The 25365-nt window shown below is 42.1% G+C and overlaps 1 protein-coding gene and 1 pseudogene across 12 annotated transcripts in view, besides 3 other annotated features; both read right to left on the bottom strand.

Annotated features, from left to right (window-relative positions):
• ADAMTSL3 (ADAMTS like 3) overlaps positions 1-25365 on the bottom strand; it is a 385720-nt gene that overhangs the window by 318995 nt on the left and 41360 nt on the right. For all 12 annotated transcript variants that reach the window (XM_011521823.3, XM_017022434.2, XM_011521822.3 and 9 more), the window contains exon 3: positions 16340-16459. In XM_011521823.3, the coding sequence (XP_011520125.1) occupies positions 16340-16459 (120 nt within the window). The remainder of the gene's footprint in view (positions 1-16339; positions 16460-25365) is intronic.
• Positions 3326-3421, bottom strand: RNU6-401P (RNA, U6 small nuclear 401, pseudogene; annotated as a pseudogene).
• Positions 4575-4744: an enhancer, noted in NCBI's record as "experimental_41598 CRE fragment used in MPRA reporter constructs". NCBI's record gives its function as "activates a minimal promoter by MPRAs in K562 erythroleukemia cells, with activity observed for the introgressed 15:84384941 variant allele {active_cell/tissue: K562}" and the evidence as "EXISTENCE:reporter gene assay evidence [ECO:0000049][PMID:34662402]".
• Positions 10617-10786: an enhancer, noted in NCBI's record as "experimental_41592 CRE fragment used in MPRA reporter constructs". NCBI's record gives its function as "activates a minimal promoter by MPRAs in K562 erythroleukemia cells, with activity observed for both the introgressed and non-introgressed 15:84378899 variant alleles {active_cell/tissue: K562}" and the evidence as "EXISTENCE:reporter gene assay evidence [ECO:0000049][PMID:34662402]".
• Positions 12474-12643: an enhancer, noted in NCBI's record as "experimental_41575 CRE fragment used in MPRA reporter constructs". NCBI's record gives its function as "activates a minimal promoter by MPRAs in K562 erythroleukemia cells, with activity observed for both the introgressed and non-introgressed 15:84377042 variant alleles {active_cell/tissue: K562}" and the evidence as "EXISTENCE:reporter gene assay evidence [ECO:0000049][PMID:34662402]".

The raw sequence follows: 25365 nt of genomic DNA, 5'->3' as shown, positions 1-25365 counted from the left end.
AAAATGAGTTGAATTGGGGACATTTATTTTATATTATAAAAGTACTATCCTGTAATGGGGCAGGAAATAAAGCTGCTTCAAGTTAGAACACAAAATAGACTCAACTTGTAAAATATGCTAATGGTAACACAGTTTCACTGCCAACAGCAGGGCATACTTACTGTCATTAAAATAGTTTAGTACTTAACATGGCTATTCAGAGTGTAATGCCCACTGACACATTCTAACCTTTGTGTGTGCTGAAAATTCTAAAAACCTTTTGTCACCAACCGCTAAATCAATATTTCTCAAACATGTTCTGGTGTCAGAATGTGTGAAGTATCACGGGGATGCTTTTACAAAGCCTCATGGAATACTCATAAATTAAACTTTAAATTACTGCACACATAAGTTTGAACTTAATTGAATATGATTATATATCTTATTTTAATGTGGCAATGAGGTCAGGGACCAAACATTTAAGAAATATCTATGGAAGAAATGTTTAATTGTAAAATGCTTTTCTGCTAATTAATTTTTTCTAGTGAATTTGATATTTTTGAAGTTGCATTATTTGATTTTAGGTATGCAATGTAGTATGGCAAAAAAGTGAACATGTTTTCTCTCTTTATTTATTTATTTTTTAAAATGAGACAGAGTCTCTCTCTGACACCCAGGCTGGAGTGCAGTGGTATGATTTCTGCTCACTGCAACCTCTGCCTCCCAGACTCAAGTGATTCTCCTGCCTAAGCCTCCTGAGTAGCTGGGATTACAGGCATAAGCCACCACGCCCAGCAATTTTTGTATTTTTAGTAGAGATGGGGTTTTGCCATGTTGGTCAGTCTGGTCTCAAGCTCCTAGCCTCAAGTGATCTGCCCACCTCGGCCTCCCAAAGTACTGGGATTACAGGTATGAGCCACCTCACCAGGCCAAATATTTTTTCTCTTGAAAAAGACCTAGGTATGAAATTGGCTTTGCCATTGACTGATTGTGTCCTGGTGAGGCTGTTAACTCCTCCAAGCCACAACTTCCTTATTAATAATATGGAATGACACTATCCAATTCACAGCAAAGTTGAGTTTCATTTTTGTTTTGTTGATGCTGTTTTGTTGTTGTTACTTTTATCTTTTACCTTTTACTATGCAAGATTTCAAACATACATAAAGGTAGACAGAAAAGTCTAATGAACCCCAAGTACCCATAGCCCAGCCCCACAATCAGCAACCCAAGTCCAAGCTTATTCTACTACTCACCCACTCCCACTATACAAAACATCATTTAATCAGTAAATATTTTTATGTGTATTCATAAAATATACTTTTTAGCATATTCACAATACCATTTTCATGCCTCAGAAATTAGGAGTTGACAACAAAATAGTAATTTTCCAATTTTCTTATAAATGTCATAAAGAGTGTTGTCGTAGGTTTTTTGTCTGTTTATTTGTTCATTTACATAAAGATCCAAATAAGGGCCATGCATTGCAGTTGGTGGATACATCTTTTAAGTCTCACTTAATCTTTTTGGTTCTGTATCTAGTTTTCTTTTTCTTTTGCAATTTATTTGTTGAAGAAATTGAATTGTTTGTCCTGTAAAGTTTCCCACTGTCTGGATTTTGGTGGTTGCAAACCCATGATTTAGTTTAATGTGTTTCCTTGTACACTGTAATTCTCATAAATAGGTAGTTAGATCTGCAGCCTCAATTTTCGGGAGGTCGAGAAGCACCATAGAAGGCAAGAATCCTACATGGGTAGTACTGGGTTCTTCCATCAAGAGATGTACACTGTTTGGCTGTCTCCCTTTTTGCGACTTTATTGGCTTTGATATTCAATGCATATATCAGTTCATTAGAGTTGCAAAATGATGACATTCTCATTCTATCATCCCTTCCTTATTTATTGACTGAAATATTTCTGTAAAGACAAATTTTCCTCATCTACTGTTTGGTTATCCAGTGATATTGTTCATATAGAAAAGGCAGAATGAATATTTGGGTTTTTTCCTTCTATTTGTTTTCAATGTAATGAGTTGATTCCTGAGCACCCGCCAACAGTGACTAATGCATTTTAGTATTATTATTAACTTAGTGATATAAACATAGTTGACATGCTTAAGTCCTTTGCAATTTTTGCTTTTATTGATGCTCAAATTTTGTCCCAATTTTTTTTTTTTTTTTTTGAGACGGAGTCTCACTCTGTCACCCAGGCTAGAATGCAGTGGCAGGATCTCAGCTCGCGGCAACCTCTGCCTCCCGGGTTCAAGCAGTTCTTGTGTAGCTGGGATTATATAGCCATGCACCACCACGCCTGGCTAATTTTTGTATTTTTAGTAGGAATGAGGTTTCACCATTTTGGCCAGGCTGGTCTCAAACTCCTGACCTCAAGTGATCTGCCCGCCTCAGCATCTCAAAATTCTGGGATTGCAGGTGTGAGCCACTGCGCCTGGCTTCAAATTGTCCCAATTTCTGCTTATAAAAGTGTTGACAAGCTGATTCCTGAGTCCTTCTGATGAGACTCTAGTAGTCTTGACAGCTTCCTTGCTACCTGTTAATTACATAATGTTCCAGGCTAATTTTGCATTGTTTTACCTCCAGACCCAGAATAAGTAATTTTGCCATGGAATCCTGGTTCCTTTTAAATGGGATATGGTGTTGAGAGACCATGACCTGGGCACTAGATCACTGCTATTAAGTTGGCCATTTGCTCATTGTTATTATGCCTTTTCAGTGAAGGGATCTGCAAAATATGTCCTGGTTTGGTTTTGTTTAAGATAAAAGACCTCAGGAGTTTTTACAGATACTTACAATTCAATTCTAGGACTATAGAGTTTTCACTTAATTTCTTCTATCTTTTTTCCCTGTCTCCTTTTTCCCATATCAAGAATACGGATTTTCAAGATTACCAGAATAAAAAACCAAATGATCACATTTGTATTGTTCATTTGCTTTGTCTCACATCACCCACACAGCAGTCTCATAACAGCAAGTCCAATGCTACCATCAACAATAACGTCACTGCAAAAAGTTTTAAATCTCATTTTTAGTTCTTTTATCCTTGGATATACTGACCTTCAGTGAAATTCATGTGTATTAAAGTCAATTAGAATAATTCTTCTCTATGTGGTTACCACCACCAATGGGAATCATAGGTTTTTTTGCTTTTATTATTTTATTTTTTATTCTTAGGGATTGTTCTTTTAAAATCTAATTTTACTTTACAAATATATAAAATATTTGCATGATCCCAAAGCCAAATGTGTAAGATAGGTATATACAGAGAAGCTTAGCTTCTGTCGCTTCTCCCGCACCTTCTTTTCTCCCTTCCCTTACAACTAACTGGTCTTTTTTAAAACTCATCACAAATTTCATATCATCCTTGTACAGAGGCCATGCTAATCTTCTCTGTATTGTTCATTTTAATATATGTGCTGCTGAAGCAAACACAGAGGAGCAGAAGAGTAAACTGTAATTATAAGGCACAGGGCATATCTCATACAGTTCTTATACATGCAGGTTGCTTAATAAAGGGCAACTGTAATCTTAGCCTTCAAAAAGAAAAAGCTCCTCTTCTCTAGTTTCAAGATTGAAATTGCAGGAATTACTTTGGATACAATTCTATCTCACATCACAGTATCATACACCCAGCATGATGCCACATTACAGAGATTCAATCAACATTTGTTGAGGGATTGATGGAATGAATGACTACTCCTTTAAACTACTGCTATTATCAGCTCAGATGTCAGTCTCCACTCAAGGTATTATAATTTTTCATGAGAACCATGTGTTCAGAATTAGGTTTTTAAATAGAGCATAGCTTTATTTAATGTATATTTACAATATATCATAGCTCTATTTGATAAATATATGTCTTAATGCAGTGTAAACCTAACGCAAAAGCAAAATTCTTAGTTAAAAATCTTGCCTTTTCCCAATTATAAAGAAAAATTTACTCAATCATTTTGAAATGTAAATTTTAAAAACCCTGTTAGCATTAAATCCCAGAGGGAAGGGATTAAGAGAAGGATTCATCCAAATGGACTAGGAATACTATTCCTTGTTGGTGGTCTGCCACGTGGAAAGCGTTGAGAATTGGAAGCAAGCAGCCAGGGTCCAAAACAAAGAACAGTCTGATTCTACAAACAAGCCTTTGGACTAACAGTATTTGGAAAAGAGACTATTACTTCCTCATAGTTGTAGGAAAAGAGTGAAAAATAGAAATAATTACAAACACACACACACACAACACACACACACACACAAAGAAATAAAGATAGGCTCTTTATTATCACAAAGAATAATTAACTTTTTTAAGAATTTATTTTCTTTCTTTCTTTTCCTTTTTTTTTTTTTTTGAGACGGAGTTTTGCTCTTGTTGCCCAGGCTGGAATGCAATGGCACGCTCTCGGCTCACTGCAAACCTCCGCCTCCCATGTTCAAGCAATTCTACCTCAACCTCCTGAGTAGCTGCGATTACAGGCGCCTGCCGCCATGCCTAGCTAATTTGTGTGTGTGTGTGTGTGTGTTTTTAGTAGAGACAGGGTTTCACTATGTTGGCCAGGCTGGTCTCAAACTCCTGACCTCAGGTGAACCTCCCACCTTGGCCTCCCAAAGTGCTGAGATTACTGGCATGAGCTACCGTGCCCGGCCTAAGAATTTATTTTATTTCTTAAAGCAAACTCAGAAATAAAAATTTAATTAGAATTTCTTCAAGTCTTGTCACTCCTGGAAGTAGATCTAGCTATTCCATGTCCATGGGAATTGCAGAAAAGTCATGCAGACTCACTCTAGATTGTTCTGACTCCAACAGGATAAGACATCCATGTCAATAATTACAAACCCAGATGAATCCTTAGGGCCATAAGCAAACATGAGTGACTATTTCAAAGAGCAGGAAGAAACGCTGTTAGGCTGAGGACTTCACTGAAAACTACCTGGAAGAGATGGCACTAAGCTGGACATCGCAGAAAACACAGACATTCAATAAAGAGCTTTGCACACCCTTGGCACAGGAAAATATCAGAACAGGAAAGGCATGGAGTCCAGTCTGGCCAGAGCACAGGGCACACAGAGAGAAATGGGGGATAAGGGAAGACAGGTAACCTGGGGCCAAGCTGTGCAGGGGCTTTAATACCGGTCAGCAGTTGGCCTATTTCAGAGGAGGAAACAAGGACCCATGTAAGGTTTTTGACAAGGGGTATAATCTTCAACAAATATATGCTCGTTGTGCATTTACTGTGTGCCAGGCTGCAGAGTACAATCTGGAGCTATAGTGATGAGAAGACATAGTCCCTGCCCCTAGGGGCTCAAAGCCTGGTGGAAAAGACAAAGGAGGAAATGTGCAGTGCTGGGTGCAGAGGAGAAGGACTTAATAAGAGAATCTCAAAGGGGATGAGAGAAGACTTGGAGAAAGTACCCAATCAGTTCAATCCAGCTCTGGGAAGGGAGGTGTATGTTATATATGTTAATTTCCACATAATCCAAATGTATTCATGTATGTAGCCATGTATTATTAACTTTTAGAAACAGAAACCTGTCCAAAATAATCATGCATGTGTGCATGTGCAGAATGATGAATGTAATTGAAATGGTTTCCTGGAAGAGGCAATATTAAGGGCCATCAGTCACTGTCCTGAGCTATCACTGCTGACCCCAGGGACATGAGGCTCAGCAGAAATTGCTCCAAGCCTCACATCCTGCATTGTGTTTTCTTGAAACAGTTCATGATGCAGCATCCCCACAGGGTTTGTTGTTTGGATAAGTAAGTCACCCAGACTAGCATGAGAAATCCAAACTGAGTGCACTGTTTGACCACACCCACCTTCTCTTCCCTCCTCACTCCCTCCCACTACAACCCATGAAGGTTACAGTGGGTCAGGAGGTCAAAATGCTATAAGAAAAAAAATTCCAAGATGAGAAAGGAAAGAAGGATGGAAGGAAGGAAGGAAGGAAGGAAGGAAGGAAGGAAGGAAGGAAGGAAGGAAGGAAGGAAGGGAGGGAGGGAGGGAGGGAGGGAGGGAAAGAGAGAGAAAGAAAGAGAGAGAGAAGGAAAGAAAGAAAGAAGAAAGAAAGAGAGAGAAAGAAAAAGAAAGAAAGAAAGAAAGAAAGAGAAAAGGGAAGGAAGGAAAAGGAGAAGGAGAGAAAAAGAAAGAAAGAGGGAAGGAGGGAAGGAAGGAAGGGAGGAAGGGAGGGAGGGAGGGAGGGAGGAAGGGAGAGAGAGAAAGAAAGGAAAGCAGGAGGCCTAGGAAGCAAGCAGGTGGACCTAATCTCACCTGCGCGTGTAAGTGAAGGTGGCCTTACTTCTTTGAGGAAGTAACAACTGAGCTGAAGGATATACAAGGGTTAGACGAGGATGGCAGGGGGAGGAACAGTGTGTACAAAGCAGAGGGGATGTTCCAAGCAAACAGGACAATTTATGCAAAGGCTGCAGTTGAAGAGCTACTTGAAGGGAAAGGAAACATACAAGCTTCATCAATAACACCTGGCCTAGAAATGTGCTGGACAGCAATGCAGACAGTGTTCCAGTGGGCATCCCTAACAGCTACACACCTGTGCCCCCACTTGCCCTTGGGATGTCCCACCAAGCACAACAGCTAGCAGGATCCTGATCTCAGGCTACCAGTTTCATTGAAGAACTCCAGCCCAAGAGTGGACATTAAAGTCCAAGCTAGAAGATAGGGTGGAAATTGGGACTGTCTCAGTGCCAGGAAAGCCAGGACAGTTGGCCACCCTAAAAAGGTTTACACAAAAAGCAGATTAAGAGTACTACCAAAGGTAACTAAACACAGAGAATAACACAACAGATACTTTCAAGATATTTATCTGCCTGGCCTCAGGTATCCATATGTCAGTGCCATTTTCCCAACCATCTGGAAGAGCCCTCAACACGTCTCAGCTCCCCAAAGTCCAGAACCAAGAAATACACTCCAGAGTGTTAAAACTCCAAGCATGAGCAGGCAAAGGTGTCCACTGAGAGACTCAAGCCCCATGGAGCCTTTACCCACCAGGAATCTCTTTGCAAACTGTGCCTACACTTTTTTGACGTAGGCTAGAATTGGCCAAACAAAAGGAAACATTTCTGAATAAGCCAATCAAAACATAATGCCTCAAATCCCTTGTGATAGGGAATAAATTCCATTACTGCTTCTACATCTGGTCCTTCAAAATTCAGCTTGCAGAGAATCGGCGAAGTCTTTTCTTGCCTGGCATGGCCCTTCTTTGCTGGCCAGCAAATTAACTTACCTTTGTTTTGAAATTCAGAGTTCATATGTGACATAGTCAATCAGAACAGCATGTACAGTTGCATGTGCATTATTCATGCATTTGTTTTATGCTGTAATAAGAGAAAAAAAAAAGATGTTCCCATCCAGTCCTCCACCTGCCATTACTCCCCATTCTTATAGCAAACCTGCAAGTCCAGTTTCCTGCATTTTCTCAAGATCACAAACACTAATAAAATCTACTCCCTTCACTATGCCTGAGGAGGACAGGCCACAACAGAACAGAAATCTGGCACTCGTTTAAGAAAAACACACATTCAGTCGCAGAGATGTTTAGTAGAAGGGGGTTGATGAATGCGGTCAAAATAAAGAATTAGAGATGATCAAAGGTGACATTGAGGGTTCCCCCACTACATGAGGCTGTATTTCATGGCTGATCGATCTTCTTTAGCAGAGCTCAGAAGGCCATCTAAGACAGAGAAAGACACCAAGTTGTAGAGAACCTGATAGAAAGTTCCACTAGGCTAGTGGGCCAGGAAAATCATGCATAGAAGGTGAGGGATGACACTGATAGAAGAGGCCACGTGGGTAGGAAACCTAGAGATGCTGAAAGGTGGCTGATCACCTGGGAGAAGTAGAGAGATAAGAGAATTAGTTGTCTCTTAGAGATTAAAAGGAATGCATGTAGTAGAAGCATGCATAGGAGGAGGTGAAGGAGAAGGGTCTGAGATTAGAGAGAGGCTGCAGGATTTAATACTTCTAAGGCAGAGTAGTTTGAAGAATGATATGGTCCAGTTTGGACACTTGGAATGGGTGACTGAAGTGGAAGGTCTGTGAAGGTCACTGGAGCCAGAGAGATGCAGAAATGACAGGGTTAGACTGAAGCTTGCAGAATGACAAATGCAATTGAAATGGTTTCTTGGAACAGGCAATTTTAAGGGCCATCAGTCACTGCCCTGAGCTATCACTGCTGACCCCAGGGACAGGAGGCTCAACAGAAATTGCTCCAAGTGTTAATTCTTGAACACTCCCCGGATCATGGCATGACCTTGGAAGGAAGGAAGTCATGATCAGGTCATAAAGGTTTTGGTGAATGCTCTGATCAGTGGTTTAGACAGATGACATGAGCCTCCAAAAAAGAGGAGCACTGAGATGAGAGAAGAGGACTAGCCAGGAAGTAGCAGTAGGGACTCCAAGAAGGTCAACCCCCCACCTTAGCCGTGTAGCACTTGGGTTGTGAGGTATGAGCAGCCTCCACTGGTGAGGCCTGCAAGAGAGGCAGTGAGCCTGGCCAAGGCCAGTTTTCAGTTGCAGCAGAAAGTTGGAATTCAGGACATGGGGTCCTGTTGACCATGAGGGGACGATGGAAAGCACTGGGAAGGGGAAATCAATAAACAAAGGATAAAACAGGAGGAAGAACAGAAAAGCAAGTCATAAAAGGCCACTGAAGAGAGGAGATGGTGGAGAGGAAAGTCTACTTGCTTTCTTTCATCCAGGGATTGTGACAGAACTGAGTTGCTCAAAACAACCTCATCTCAAAGCACTTGAAGGCTGTGAGGATATGTGAGTAGGGACTGATCTGATCTCAAAGAGAAAGGATGATCTGACGGTAAGCAGCAAGGGCCCTGTCAGAACAGAACTTATCTCTCAGTGTTCTTAAGGGTAGTGAGGGACTTTTAAGGAAAGATCCATTTGGGTCTGTCTTGAACATCCCCACCCTATACCCACCCCTTAACCCATAGGGTGTAAGTGATAAAAATCACCCAGTACCCCAAATATGAGTTTAGGAAGATGACACTGAAAGAGGAAAATGTCTGCATCCTTCAAAAGCTAGATATTAAATCTCTACCCACACAATTCTTTTATGCTTTCATGATTTGTGAAAAAGCTCAATGATAATGAAATTCAGAGTTCATGTGTGACACAGTCAATCAGAACAGCATGTACAGTTGCATGTGCAGTATTCATGCATTTGCTACACGCATGAACTGTGAACACAGTACAAGTTATTCCAACTAATTTGTTCTTGTCTTCTCTTAACAGACCATGAGCTTGCTTTCTTGTTAGATCGCTAAATCTTGGAATATTTAAGCAGCATAACTACATTTGACCGAGATTACTTACTAACAAAGGAATGAACTATTCAAACTCAAATGGCTTGCTGCTTAAAAATATTATACACACAGGCCAGAAACAACACAGAAACTCTCCTATGTGGAGAACATATAAGTTGCTCATTTTGGTCAGTGAAGAAGATGAAAATACCCAGTAGACCCATGGGCTATGTCCGTCTTCTTTCACCAGAAATTTCAGAAGTTGGTATATACTTTCCAACTAAAAACGATTACATAAATAACTTGGAAACGTCAAGTGATATTTCTGAGGGCTGCCAATAGTTTAACCACATTGAAACTCCTGGCCAAGATATTCATGAAAAGTTCGGAAGAAGTTACTTTGAGAGAGATGTACTCACAGCAAATAGATTTCTCCTCTTTAGAAAGAATGCATAAATCAATAGTTAAACGAGGAAAAGGAAAATTATGTTTATCATAATAGTATAAGAAAAAAGGCATTTAAAAGAAGTTTAGAAATAAGACTACACAGACTTCATTATTAATATATTATTGTTATTATTAGTATTAAAAATTCATTCAAACATTTCTCTCATACTTTTCCTGCCCACAGATTAGATGTAAAAATGTCTTAACTGAGCTTAAGGGCAAAGAACGGGCACTTGGCTTTGCTACTGCCTGGCTGTGTGATCTTGGACAAGACACTGTTCCTCTCCGGGGCTCAGATTCCTCACCTGAAAAGCCAGAATCCTATACTTTCTTTCAACTCTGACATGCTATTAATACAATTCCAGATGCTACCAAGGCTGCACATCCAGCCCTCTGCCTCCTTTGGGATGGAAACAGTAAAGAAAATACAATTTAGAGAGGCATATTGAAACAAGGAATCATACAAATAGGCAGCCAATGACATCCCAGGAAGGAAAGAGAAGAGTCAACTATGACTTCACCTATGATGTCATTAAGGCCTTAGGACTTTACAAACATGGAATTGTACCAACACAGACTTTTACAAATATAGGCTGATTCATACCAGAATATAGGTGTGACTTGAAGAAAGTAACTGAAATTCTTAAAAAGGATGCCTGTTGAAGGTGGTGGGGGGAGGGAGGTTGGAGGACATAGAAGAAGTTAGATTTTAAAGGTTAAAAATGAGTAGCAGAATGAGTAGCAGAAAGCAGCAAGAGACAGTAAGAATTTGAAAACCAAGTGGTCACTGAAAGCAATGGTAGATGAGAGTACAGGCAAAAGCATTTTTAAGTCTGGAAAAAAATCTCAAATCCTCTTAAATGTGGTCAGGAAGAGACACAGCAAACGCTAAATTAGTCAAGGGCAGAGGAGCAGGAAGTTTACCAGGGAGAAGGGATGGCCTGGTATGAATAGGTATAAAAGGACCTCTCCAACATGAGATCAAGGTAGTTCTCTAAATGGCTTCGAGCTTGCATTAGTGGGATTATCCTTGGTTAATTTTAGGAAAATCAAAACCCACTACTTGTCCTACATGCTTGGAATCCAAGGTATTAACCTTTTTTCCTGCCTTTTGGTGCCTAGTAGACTAAAAGTGGCAAGGTCAGCATTATTTTAATACCCTATATTAATATTAACAGGTACACACATAAAGAATTCATAAAACATAGGAAAGTGTGCATGAGGCCCAATTTCTAAGTCACCTACTGCTCGTGCTTAATGTCCTTTATCCTACGATGGCTGCCAGTGAGGAGGAAGCACATTACAGCAAATCCACCAAGTCTGGGAGGACACACCTTCCACCTTCCCCCATGCCTAACAAATGCTAAAAATAAAGAGAAATAAAAGAATATTTATGCAAAAAACAACTTTTCCTAACTCCTTAAAAAATAAATGACCTCTAACTGAGAAACACTGTGCTTGTCACAGGCTTTCAGTGACCATAATAAAGCTCCAAGTTTAAATCTTCAGTGAGTTGAAGCAAGGTAAGGATGGAAAACAACCACACCATCCCCCTTTCCCAGAAGGTGATCTAGGCAGAGAAAGACAGAGCAGATCTCCAAAAACTGACTTACTCAGCGATGAAAAGAACCATGTGCAGTGACCAATATCCAGCTGTTTGCCTATGAACAGGTCCTCTATGGGACAAAACTCCAAAACCACTATGAGGAATGACCAAAGAATCTACCCCAGAGACAGGCTGGCTAGTAACTGAAACCACAGCCTTCTTAGCCAGTCGTCCCAAACTAATACATTCTAGCTACTTCATGTACCTGATGCAACCAAGTGCTAGAACACCTTTATTCTAAGAATGTGCCCATCCAATAGAAAGTCAGTGCCATTTTAATTTCAGTTAATGTTTCACTCAAGCTTCAAAAAAAAATTGTGGCTTCTATTAAAAACTGGAAAGGAATAAATATGCTTATGAATGTTCTCCACATAGCTAATTCCAAATTCCTGAAGGAGATGAGAATGAGCTGATAAGGCATCCATTAATCTTAATCTTAATCTCTGGGGTCTATTAAGATCCCCAAAGCTCTACTAACTGTAAACAGTGGAATCAGGATTTTTAGGATAGGAGATAATTTTCTAGGTGGTTCTTCTGAGAGAAGCTCCTGGATATATCTCAGAGCAGGAGAGCCTTGGGTTTGGAGTGTAATGGTCTTAGTTTTTCAAATAACCACGGGTGTCCTTGAGTAAGTCATTTGCACATTTGGCGTCTCTGTTTTCTTGACTTGTAGAATGAGGCACTTGGGCCAAAGTCTCCACCAGCTGTAAAACTGTATAATTCTCTAAGTAATAGTTTACCGAATTGCTGGCAAGACTGCCTCAATAATCAGAATGATCCAATTAACACTCTGCAACGTGGAATATTCTATTTGTAGTTTCAGACTATTTTAGAGTGGAAAGAGTTCAGATCATGAAATCCAGTCACTTTGTTTTTTAAAAGAAATAAAGAATCCAAAGTCCAAAACGTTAAATAGTTCTGTTAGATTATAAGCTGATTAGTGGTAGAAGCAAGACCAGGCTGCCTGACTAGTCCTGTTTGCACTAAACCACATTGTTACTCAGTTGGCTTCAGACCACTTTCTTCACTAGAAGCTGCCGCGGCCCTCCGTATGATCCATAATGTGGCTTTTACGCCTCCCATTAAATGCAGCCTACATCACAGCTATGTGTTACTGGCCTCAGGGTTATTAGTTTTCCAGGCATCTAACCCAGGAGACATTTGAAGAATGACCTGAAGGTCTTCATGAAATGCGCCCAGGATAAAACACTTTAAAAAGTCCTGTGAGGTTCATCCAAGACAGCAAATATCTACACACCATCCATTTGCATCCCATTTTATCAAATGAGTACTCTATAGGTAGGAAGATCCTAGTGAACCCACATCTGACCCAACAGCATTAGAAACTAGGCTGCAGCCTCAATTGCATAAGTACTTTGTCACTCTGGCTTCAAGCCACTGTGACAGCAGGACAGCACCCCTGGCATATATATATGGAGATTCCACAGGTAGGTACCCATGCCACCTGACACAGGTTCTGCCCTGGCAGCCACTCACACAGACCCTGTACCTACTTCTGGCTGTGGAATGCCGGTGGCTGCTGGCATATAACAAAGGCTACACTGGAAAACTGTCCCCACCATTTCCCCAGGTATGAAATCTTTGGAGAGACTGCTCTGAAAACCTTTTAGGGACAACCTGGGAATTTCTGTGCAAGAGTAATGCTGCATGCCACCCAGTATGCTGCAATTTGTTCCAACATGAGACAATTTGTTCCAAAGAGTACAACTGGCTGCTAGACATTAAACCCTATATTATGTTGGATCCAGCAACTGGGTTGAATCTCTCAGACATAATGATGTGTGAAAGAAGCCAGACACAAACGAGTATGTGGTGTATGATTCCATTTATATAAAATCAAAAATAAAATTAAAAGCAGGCAAAATGAATCTGTAATACTGATAAAAGTCTGAATGGTGGTTACTTCTTGAATGTGGGATATTGATCGGAAAGAGGTTCAAGGAGCCTCCTAGGGTGCTAGAAATGTTCATTTTCTTGATCTAGGTAGCAACTACACAGGTGTAAAAATACTTAAAAATTCATCAAGCTCTATACTTCAGATATGTATGCGTTTTACTTACATATGTTATAGCTCAATAAAAAATTAATTGAAAATATTGCATGAGATCTCCTAAAGTAAGAATTAACTTCTTCCTTTCTTTTAGCATAAGCATATCTGAGATTCTTTGAATTGAGTGTTTGCAAACAACATTCTTAGTAATAACAATAGCTAAATTAAATGCTTATATGTACCAGGCCCTATGCAGGGAGACATGAATTAACGCCTACATAAGGTAGATACCATCCAAATCTCCATTTCATAGATGAGAAAATTAAGGGACAGGGAAGTAAAGTAACTTGTCCAAAGTAAAACAGCAAATCAAATGGCAGAACTGACAAATCAAATTCAAACCCAAAGCAGTCTGACTCCAGAGACTTTGTTCTTAATTGATCTTAATGTTTTGTCATATGCTGAAGGATCAGGGGATTTTTTAAAAGTTTGATAGTATTTGATTGGTTTTATCCTTTCCCCAGTGCCTGAGAAGCATGTTCAGCATTAAGAAAAAAGAGGATTGGCCAGGCGCAGTGGCTCACACCTGTAATCCCAACGCTTTGGGAGGCCGAGGAGAGCAGATCGCTTGAGCCCAGGAGTTTGAGGCCAACCTGGTCAACATAGCAAAACCTCATTTCTACAAAATACAGACAAAAAAAATTATCCAGGGGTGGTGGTACATGCCTAATGCCTATAATCCCAGCTACCTGGGGTGGGGGGCGGGGGCTGAGGCAGGAGGATCACCTAAGTGTGGGTGGGGAGGTTGAGGCTGCAGTGAGCTGTGATCATGCCACTGCACTTCAGCCTGGGTGACAGAACAAGACCCAATCTCAAAAAAAAAGAAAAGAAAAAAGAGGAAAGAGAATCAGGATTTGGTTGGTGGGTTAACAGTCTCTAGCTGATTAAATTCCTGAGGTTCATTCAATAGATAAACCTAGTTTAGTCCAAGCGCCTATTTTCTGTGCCTTTAGTAGAGGAAAGTGGGTGCTATTATTGGCTTGTTATAGTCTCAAATTATTCCTTTCTCCTAAAAGAAATACACAGTGGGGGCAACACAGAGTGTTTTCATATGCTAGTCACTGAGGCTTTCTGGAACACTATGTCCTAGGATGAAATTTCCACAGCATGCCACACACTTTTCAGATCTGCTTTAGACCTTTTGAAAAGACTGAAGGGGCTTGTTTTCCCCTTTTCCCAGCTTTTATATTGTTATTATGTTAAATATAAAGTATCTGTGGAACCTGGAGAAGACATTAACCACTCTTTAATTATAAAATGCATAGCTTGGTATTTTCCAGACACCCGCTTTTATCCTTTACGGCCCTCTCAATTAGTTCCTCTGAAGTTCTCATATGAAAACCTGTTGGATTATTGATTTCTGGATTAAAAGGAGCTATAAATTATAGACCCTCTCAAAATCCATCAAGGGAAGGGGGAAGGCAGAAAGTGACTTAATGATGTTTTAGCCCCTATTAGCAACCAGGCCCAAATGTTTGGGCTCTACAATGCAAATATAGAATTATTCCCCAGCCCACCCCTGCTCCCCACAATGACTAGTAATGCACTCACTCACTTTTAAAGTAACTTGAAAATATGATTGAATGTTGACATTTTGAGTAAGAAATTGGTCTCATCCCACTCTTGCCCCAATGACCAGTGTGGCTCCCTGCCCACAGCGGTCTGGAGGGTCACAGCCCTGACCTTCACCCCAGTCCCAGCTCTGGAATGAAGCCCACCAAGGGTAGGTCACTGAGCAGCAGCCTCAAGGATGGAGAGTGTGCAGTGTCTTCCCCTGAGCTGGGAGATAGAGGACTGAGCAACAGACTCCTCTACCTGCCCTCTATGCTCTAATCTCCGTCCTGCATCAGCCACTGATGCTCTGCAAGACTTTCATCCTTCTCCCAGCCCACCTCCAGCACTCTGCCTAGCTCCAGCCAGCCCTCAGAACAGGGTCCTACTCCCTGTGGTCACATCTTGGATCTACCCATGTTGGCAGACTGAATTTCTCAGAGCTGTTCCTTTTGAGTACTGTCTTTTGCACTCTGACTAGGCTTTACCTAAATCAAACCAGGATGCACTGGCCTTTGGCTATACAGCTGAGGAGAGCACAGCTGGCCTCAGTCACTGGGCCATCTCCCTCCACTCTATCACGTACCATGGGAAGGTGATCTTGCCCCAGCTCCTCACCTTCACTTGGGCCCTACAGGTGCTGAGGTCTGCCAGATCCACCCAGGCCCTACATCATCTTAAAGTCCACCCTGGTTTGCTCAACTGCCCCATAAATTCAGGCTTTACCAGCTTTGCATTAGGCAAAGTTGAAACTCTCTGTTTCACCAAGTTGTGAGTGATTTCAAAGATGGATAATCTTAAATGCTATTATGGCATCAAGGTGAATTGAGGATGGAAGGGAATCACAACTTCCAGTGCTCAGCTTACACATGTCAGCCAAGCAAGGCCTTCTTCTCTAGTTAGCCTTCCTAAAATGATTTCAACACACACACACACACACACACACACACACACACTCACAGACATATGCACACACAGGCATTCACACTGTGTTCCTTTCTGAAAAGTAATCTTGGGGAAAAAAGCATGCAACATTGGTGCTGGTAAAAGAAATGAAGTAAAAGCTGAGGGCAAAGAAGTAACACATAAGCAGAAAACAGAATTTTGGATAATTTCAGAATTGAATCATCAATGTGGTGATAGCTGAGATGAACAAATCCATCATATATTTCTGATGAAAATAAGAAAAAGTGACTTTTATGCAAATGCAGAGAAAGAACTGCACATTATATAGGAAATTACATGCAAACATGGGCAATCCACATATTCTGGGATCCTTCAAGGGTGTCAAGGGTCTGTTGTACTTGTATTGCAAAGAGGAAAATATAATTACTTTGAAGGTCTTTTAGAGACAGTTTCCTGACCACTGGCAAACAGCAAAGCCAAAGGTAGATCCTTGTCCAATGTTCTTACCTGGTCATCATAGCGATAAGTGAGGAACTGCTCCCCTGTTGTGTCTTCCAGAAAACTTCCCTGAGGAGAAAGTGCAAACTCGGGAAGGAAATAGGCTCCAGGAGATTTCTCAGCTGTGGTCTGAAAAACAAGATCATTTGGTCACAAATAAGGCTCCAGTAAGGACCCCCTGACAGGTAAAGTCCAAGAAGGCCATTCCAGGAGAATCCACCATTAATAGCTGTACCAAGAAACAAAAAGGGAAGTGACCTCTCTTGGCAAAGACCAGGGTGAGGCACACCAGGTGTGTCAGGGCACTGTTAGGCCAGGATATCACAGTGGCCCGAATCAAACTGGCAGCCATGGCATTTATTCTCTGACACCTGCCTCTCTCCCCCTCCCCGCTACCTCTGCTCCCCATCTTCCAGCAATTCAGTCACAGAGTAGTTAACTTTGTCTTGTTGTTGCAAATCTATTGTTTTTAGGATTTTCTTTTCTTCTTCCTTTTGTGTTTTTTTTTTTTTTTGGCAAAGGAGTGAGAAACAAAAATTTTCTCCCATACTACAACAAAAATGCACTTCATTGTAGAAACTTTAGAACATATAAATGAGCACAGAAGAAAATAAAATCACCCATAATCTTTTCAACCTGTAATAACCACTGTTAATTGTTTTGGTGTATTTCCTTTGAGACTTTTTCTTCATAATGCTTTGTTTAAAAATCCAAGCTTAAATAAACATGCATATTGTAGACTGTGTTTAGTTCATGGAAAGCTCATACCCCAGTCCGTTTTCATGCTGCTGATAACTACATACCCGAGACTGGGAAGAAAAAGAGGTTTAATTGGACTTAGAGTTCCACGTGGCTGGGGAGGCCTCAGTATCATGGCAGGAGGTGAAAGGCACTTCCGACATGACGGCCACAAGAGAAAGTGAGAGGGATGCAAAAGCGGAAACCCCTGATAAAACCATCAGATCTCGTGAGACTTATTCACTATCACGAGAACAGTATGGGGGAAACTGTCCCTATGATTCAAATTATCTCCCACCGGGTCCCTCCCACAACACATGGGAATTATAGGAGTACAATTCAAGATGAGATTTGAGTGGGGACACAGAGCCAAACCATATCACTCCACCCCTGGCCCCTCCAAATCTCATGTCCTCACATTTCAAAACCAATCATGCCTTCCCAACAGTCCCCCAAAGTCTTAACTAATTTCAGCATTAACCAAAAAGTCCACAGTCCAAAGTCTCATTTGAGACAAGGCAAGTCACTTCTGCCTATAAGCCTGTAAATTCAAAAGCAAGCTAGTTACTTCCTAGATACAATGAGGGTATAGGTATTGGATAAACACAGCCATTCCAAATGGGAGAAATTGGCCAAAACAAAGGAGTTACAGGGCACATGCAAGTCCAAAATCTAGTGGGGCGGTCAAATTTTAAAGCTCCAAAATGATCTCCTTTCACTCCAGGTCTCATGTCCAGGTCACGCTGAGGCAAGAGGTGGGTTCTCATGGTCTTGGGCAACTCCACCCTTGTGGCTTTTCAGGGTATGGCCTCTCTCCCAGCTGTTTTCACAGGCAGGCGTTGAATGTCTGTGGCTCTTCGAGGAACATGGTCCAAGCTGTCAGTGGATCTACCATTCTGGGGTCTGGAGGACAGTAGCCCTCTTCTCACAGCTCCACTAGGCAGTGCCCCAGTAGGAACTCTGTATGGGGGCTCCGACCCCACATTTCCCTTCCGTACTGCTATTGCACAGGTTCTTCATGAGGGCCCCGCCCCTGCAGCAAACTTTTGCCTGGGCATCCAGGTGTTTCCATACAACCTCTGAAATCTGGGCAGAGGTTCCCAAACCTCAATTCTTGACTTCTGTTGCAGGCTCAACATCACAAGGAAGATGCCAAGACTTGGGGCTTCCACCCTCTGAAGCCACAGCCCGAGCTCTACATTGGCCCCTTTCAGCCATAGCTGGAGCAGCTGGGACACAGGGCACCAGGTCCCTAGGATGCACACAGCCAAGGGACCCAGGGCCCAGCCCGCAAAACCACTTTTTCCTCTTGGGCCTCCAGGCCTGTAATGGGAGGGGCTGCCATGAAGGTCTCTGACATGCCCTGGAGACATTTTCCCCATAGTTCTGGGAATTAGCATTAGGCTCCTTACTACTTATGGAAATTTCTGCAGCCAGCTTGAATTTTTCCCCAGAAAATGGGTTTTTCTTTTCTATTGCATAGTCAGGCTGCAAATTTTCTGAACTTTTATGTTCTGTTTCCCTTTTTAAACTGAATGCCTTTAACAGTATCCAAGTCATCTCTTGAATGCTTTGCTGCTTAGAAATTTCTTCCACCGGGTACCCTAAATCTTCTCTCTCAAGTTCAAAGTTCCACAAATCTCTAGGGCAGGGGCAAAATGCCACCAGTCTCTTTGCCAAAACATAACAAGAGTCACCTTTGCTCCAGTTCCCAAGAAGTTCCTCATCTCTATCTGAGACCACCTCAGCCTGGACCTTTTCATTCATATCATTATCAGCATTTTGGTAAAGGCAATCAACAAGTCTCTCCGGAGTTCCAAACTTTCCCACATTTTCCTGTCTTCTTCTGAGCCCTCCAAACTGTTCCAACCTCTGCTTGTTACCCAGTTCCAAAGTTGCTTCTACATTTTCAGGTATCTTTTCAGCAGCACCCGATTCCACTGGTGCCAATTTACTGAATTAGTCCAATTTCATGCTGCTGGTAATGACATACTCGAGACTGGGAAGAAAAAGAGGTTTAATTGGACTTACAGTTCGACATGGCTGGGGAGGCCTCAGAATCATGGCAGGAGGCAAAAGGCACTTCTTACATGATGGTGGCAAGAGAAAATGAAGGGATGCAAAGTGGAAACCATTGATAAAGCCATCAGATCTTGTGAGACTTATTCACTGCCATGAGAACAGTATGGGGGATACCTCCCCCATGATTCAAATTATCTCCCACCGGGTCTCTCCCACAGCATGTGGGAATTATGAGAGCACAATTGAAGATGAGATTTGGGTGGGGACACAGAATCAAACCATATTACCTGGCATCTGAATCACTGGACATAAATCACAATGGTTGGAGTCTGAGGGGGTCAGAAAGGACACCCTCTTTAGGGGAATATGGCTGGGATATGATGACCCAATGGACTTGCTACCATCACACTATCACCCACCTCCTGGGAGAGCCTGTCCAAGGGAAGACTGAGGAGGTAGAGGGTTTACCAGGATCACTGCCTTGATTGCTTCAAGGAGGAAAGTAATAAAGGAGATAGAATCTGCAGAGCTTAGCCCCATCCAGTCAAAAATACATGGATCTGTGACTATACCCCCGACTGGATACCTCACTCCCCCTGCTTGGGAAGAAATGAGTCAGAAATAAATTAAGAGGCCACAGGTGTTACTCTAAGAAAATTGCTCTCTGCAAACAGGAGAAGCAGGGAGTAAACATATTCCTCTGACACCTCTGCTGCTCCAATGGACTCATTCTCAAACTGCAGCAGGAACTATAGTTTACGCTAAAACGTCCCTCTGAATACTGTGTTTTAGAAAGGGAAATCAACATCATTCTGTCAAGGAATATAGAAGAGATAACTCCACTAGACTAGATGGCTTAGATAGCACTAGACTGTTAAAATAATTTGAAGACTTTCTTATTAAATTTCATTTATGTGAGAGATTTAGCACCACTATTGCTAATTGCTCTTACTGGCTTCAATCATCACTTTATTTTTTTTACTTTAATTTTTTTTAGACGGAGTCTTGCTCTGTCACCCAGGCTGGAATTGAGTGACGTGATTTCAGCTCACTGCACTCTCCGCCTCACAGGTTCAAGCAATTCTCCTGCCTCAGCCTTCCTAGTAGCTGGGATTACAAGTGCCCACCACCATGCCTGGATAATTTTTGTATTTTTAGTAGAGACGGGGTTTCACCATGTTGGCCAGGCTGGTCTCGAACACCTAATCTCAGGCGACCTGCCCGCCTTGGCCTCCCAAAGTGCTGGGATTACAGGCATGAGCCACCGCGCCCAGCCAGAATCATCATTTTAAATACCTAAAGAGACCTTAGAAGTCATCTAGGTCAAACTCCTTATTTTAAAAATGAGTAAACTATAGCTCTGAGAGTTAGGAGACTAACCAATCACCAAATCTGACAGTGACTATTCCTGGCACACAAAAAAAGAACAAGTGCAAAAGCCCTAAAATAGAAAGGAGGTCAGTGAGTTTGAGGAACAGACGCAGGCTTACAGCCAGGGCTGGAACCTGTTAGCAGCCATGTGCCAATACCTGGACAGATCCATTTACCAGAGTGGAAGCAGTCAAAGATCGCCACCTTAAAACAGCTTCCCGCATATAGTGGACCTTCCAGTGTGATGCTTATATTCAGTTGACCATGCATTCAACACATATTTATTGAGCACCTAATATATGCCTGGCACAGTTCTCAGTGCGATAGATACAATGAGGAACAAAAAAGATCAGGTTCCTATTTTCATGGAGGTTACATCCTAGAGGTGGAGATACATAGTAAAATAAGTAAACAAATACATAAATAAGAAAACTAACATTCTAAGTTCTAAAGGAAATAAACAAGGTGATATGAGAATAATGTTGGGAGAGGACTGTTCAATTTTAGATAAGATGGTCAAAAAAGGCATCCATGGGAAGATAAGATTTCAGATGATACCTCAAACAGGAGGAGCCAGTTATGGAAAAAGCTAAGGATGAGTATTACCGGCAAAAGAAGAGCAAGTACAAAAGCTCCAAAGTGGAAAGGAAGTCAGTGAATTGGAAGAACTAGAGTGTGGCTGAATTCAGTGCGGACAAGTAACAGTGGCACGAAATGGATAAAGAAGGAAGGGAAAAGCCACCCAAGACATTTAAAGCCTTATGGTAAGGAGACGGAGAACAATAGAAGAGTATTTAAACAACACTGACTGCTTTGTGGAGACTGAGCTAGAAGAAGGTAAAGTGGAATCACAAAGACTAGTTGGAAGGCTGTTGGTACTAACCCAGGTGAAAAGGGATGGTTCCTTGGACTGGGATGATGGCAGTAGAGAAGGGGAGAGGTGCATGGATTAGAAGTAGAACCAACAAAGCTTTCCGATGAGGGAGGAAAAGGGAGGAATCAAGGGTGACTTCTGGGTTTTTGGCTTGAGCAATGGCTGTAAAGGAATTGTAATGGATGGATAGCCCTGAGGCAGAAACTGATTTGTTGGTGAGGATAGAGTCAACAGTTCTGTTTGAGTCATGTTAAGTTGGAGGTGTCCATAAAACATCCATGTGAAGAGCTTGAGTTTGCCATTCAATATGCAAGTCCAGAGCTCAGAAAGGAAATCTGACGCTGGAGATAGGGATTTGGAAGTCATCACTTAACATTTTCATAATGTATGTATGTATGTATGTATATTTACATATATTTACAACCATTATACCAGAAAAGCCACTCCCTAGAGAAAGAGTTTGGCAGGCAAGAGGGCTTTGCCTGACACCCTCAATTCTAATATTTGAAATTAAGTAGAAGAGGAGGAGCAAGCAGAAGAGACTAAAAATGAACATCAATTAGAGTAGAATAAAAAGGAAAACACCCTATATTAGGTCATGGGAAGATTTAGCGTCAAACAGAATAGTCAAGTGTCTTGAATGCTGCTAAGAAACTGAGGAAGATGAGGCCAGAGAAGTATCCCTTGGATCTAGCAACAGGGAAGTCAACGTTGACTTTGACAAGGGTAGTTATGGTGCAGTTTTTCTTAGAAAAATTGGGCCTTCCCTTAGGAGAAATGGCTGAGTTCACACACGGCTTCAGAAAGCAAGCATCATACCAAACATGCGTTGGACATTTCCAGCCAGATGGAAGTTGACTTCCTAAATGTCAGGAAGACTCAGTGGCATGTGGCCCTCACAGGATGGGGTGACCAAAGGGGTCAGGGCCCTTAAGTAGCAAAAGTTGGAGGGAAAGCAGGAGGAACAAGCCTGGATCAGGAAGTGTGCGATCTTCCCAGGGCACTGAGCCAGGCCTAGGAGAGAAGCTGCCAAAATGCATCATCTCCACCAGCCACTGTCCACAGCTGCTGAGTCACCAGGGACAAGGTCAGGAGGAATCCAGACAGCACCTCCAGGGACTATGAATATGAGACGTGGGGATACAGCTGTGTCTCCACATCCCCATCCAGCTGAAGGATTTGACTTGAGCAGGAGGAAGTGTATATGGGATGGCTAGTCAAGGACAAGAGTTGAGCATTCTAGACCTTGATCTACACATTGTAAAGGGTCAAGAATAACTATGAAAGCTGGGTGAAAGTTCTGCTTGATTGTGATATTATGATATAATAGAAATATATATGTGGCCTCTGACTAAGGTTCTTGACATAGAGCTCCTAAAATCCTTGTAATTTTGTGAGCAATAGGGGCCATAGGAGAATCTTTTGTTCTACTATTTGGTCTTTGACTGCAGTTCCTGACACAGAGCTCCTAAGGCTTTGTGATTTCCTGAGTGACAGGGGCATCTGACTCAGCCCCTAAATTCCTTGGAATTTCCTGGGTGCTAGAAGCATCTTTTGTTCTAATGAGGTTACTCTTGGTGGACCCCTGGATAGCCTCAGGATGGGGGCTGGTTGCCAGGGGAACCAATCAAGTGATTAGAGGGTTGGAACTTTCAGTCCTCACCCCCAACCTCTGGTGAAGGGAGAGGTGCTGAAAGTTGAGCTGATACTAATGGCCAATGAGGTCATCAACCATGCCTGGGTAATGAAGCCTCCATGAAAACTCAGAAGGATTGGGTTCAGGGAGTTTCTGAGTTGGTGAACATATCTGTGTGCCTGGAGGTGGCACACCCCAACTCCTGCACTTGGGACCTCCTTCCAGACCTCACCCTACGTATCTCTTCATCTGGGCATTCATCTTTATCCTTTATTCTATCCCTTTATAAGCTAGAAGATGTAAGTAAAGTGTTTCATTTAGCTCTCCAAGCTGCTCTGGCAAATTAGTCAAAGCCAAGGAGAGGCTCAATTTATAGCCTGTTTGTCAGAAGTATAAGTGATAACCTATACTCAACCTACTGCTTGAGATTGGCGTGTGAAGGGCAGTCTTGTGGGATGGAGCCCTTAACCTGTGGGGTCTGATACTATCTCTAGGTAGATAGTCTCAGAATTGAATTGAAATAGAGGATACCCAGTGGTGTCCAGTGAATAGCTTGCTGTGTGCAGAAATACCTCCACACAAGTGCTGTGTTGAGTGGAAAATGGACAGTATGAAAAAGCACTTTAGTGTTTTGTTTTTTCCTATTTCTCAGATTGATGTAATGGGAAGAGAGAGAAGCAGGGGAGAAGAGGGTATTCCTAGATTCAAGAGCAGAATCCAGTGTGCCTCAAAAGTTAAGCAGTCACCAGTTAAAACAAACACAATGTGATTCCCATTGCAATTAAACAAGCCAGTCTGAACACTTCTCCTAACCTGGTGTGAGCTCTCACACCCATCTCTCTCCAGAGCACAAACACAGCCAAATATCACACCGCTAACGTCTACAGAACCTCGGTCAGTGAAGGGACCTAGCCTTTCTCCCACATGCCATTGCTAAGCCATGTCACTGCACTCTGGATTGAGAACCCAACTGCACGCTTTCCTGCCATTCACTTTCTCTTTAGATTTGGCATCTCAAGACTGTTTTAGATCTGGACTCCATTTATCAGGATATGCAGCACTCTCCCCCTGCTTCACGTCAGCCCAAATTTGTGGGGCATGCTCACAATCTGCCTCCTTGTCACTGCTACAAACACTGAACAGGAATAGGGCTGAGGCCTGAGCCCTCTACCTATCCAGGCTGATGGCAAATTTGCCCAATTATAGTTCCTCATTTGACATGTCGTCATCTTGGCCACTAAGGATTCAAGGAATACACTCTCAGACGCTTCAAATCTACACTGACAGACGACACAAGAAGGTAAGATGCTAGATGGAAGAACTGAGATTCCAACAGATTTTAACAGGTTGGGCAAAGGCTAAATGCCAAGAAGGCAAAGCCCTGAGCCATTATTGCTGGACTCTTCCCATGACACCAGCGCTTAGCCAGACACCATGTAAGGTCACTGTCAGGAATATTAATGCATAGGTAGGCCTATCTCTATTAACAGCAACCAAAGCAGGGCGTGGTGACTCATGCCTGTAATCCCAGCACTTAGGGAAGCCGAGGCAGGAGGATCACTTGAGTCCAGGAGGTCAAGGCCGCACTGCAGTGAGCGGTGATCATGTCACCACACTCCAGCCTGGGTGACAAACCAAGATCGGCCAGGAAGACTTTAGTATTTGAATGGGAAGTTAGGATCACTCCTACAAGTGAAAGGTCCCTTTAAATGTCAATATTCCATGAGTCAGGAAGCGTATCTTCCAGGCAAATCAGGCAGAATCCCCAGGCTCAACGCCAGCCACAGTCTGCAAGGGATACATTCTCTGTATTCCTCTGGGGCCTCAGGGGCTATTCCCCCTGGCCTGGATGGCACATGGGACTTTACAGTTTGTAGCTTCCAAGGCCCATGAGGGAAAGTCAAGTTAACCAGCAGTACTTAAACTCAGTGCACCCAACACATTTTTCTTCAAAAAAAAACCATGATGTACATTTGGTTCCTTGAACCTGAAACAAAAGTTAAAAAATAAACCTTCCAGATCATTTTGGTTTTTCAAGTAGAATGCGGTCATTATGAGACTTTTCAGTCTTAAGTGTCCAAAACCTTCCTGATGAAATATAAAATACATTTACTTTGGCAGGATTGGAAGGGAGGGTTTAAAAGAAAAGGACTTTTCACATTTTTTTCCAAGATAAAAAAAATTATTTCCAGGGATTTAAGATTCTTTTTCTCTATTTACCATCAATTAATTATATGTTCTTCTAATATTGTTCATTTAAAAGACCTAACATTTGAATAAAGTCTGGATACACCTCAGCCAAAATACCATGTAGTTTTGAACTTCAGCTTCACTCTGGGTCACATTTTCAAAAGAAATATGAGCCCCGGGCCCTTCTCCTCCCCTCCTAGGTCA

The sequence above is a fragment of the Homo sapiens genome, chromosome 15 (genome assembly GCF_000001405.40).
Source record: "Homo sapiens chromosome 15, GRCh38.p14 Primary Assembly".
NCBI classification, from domain to species: Eukaryota; Metazoa; Chordata; class Mammalia; order Primates; family Hominidae; genus Homo; species Homo sapiens.
The sequence above is the reverse complement of the archived record's forward strand: the minus strand, read 5'-3'. Positions and strand labels throughout refer to the sequence as shown.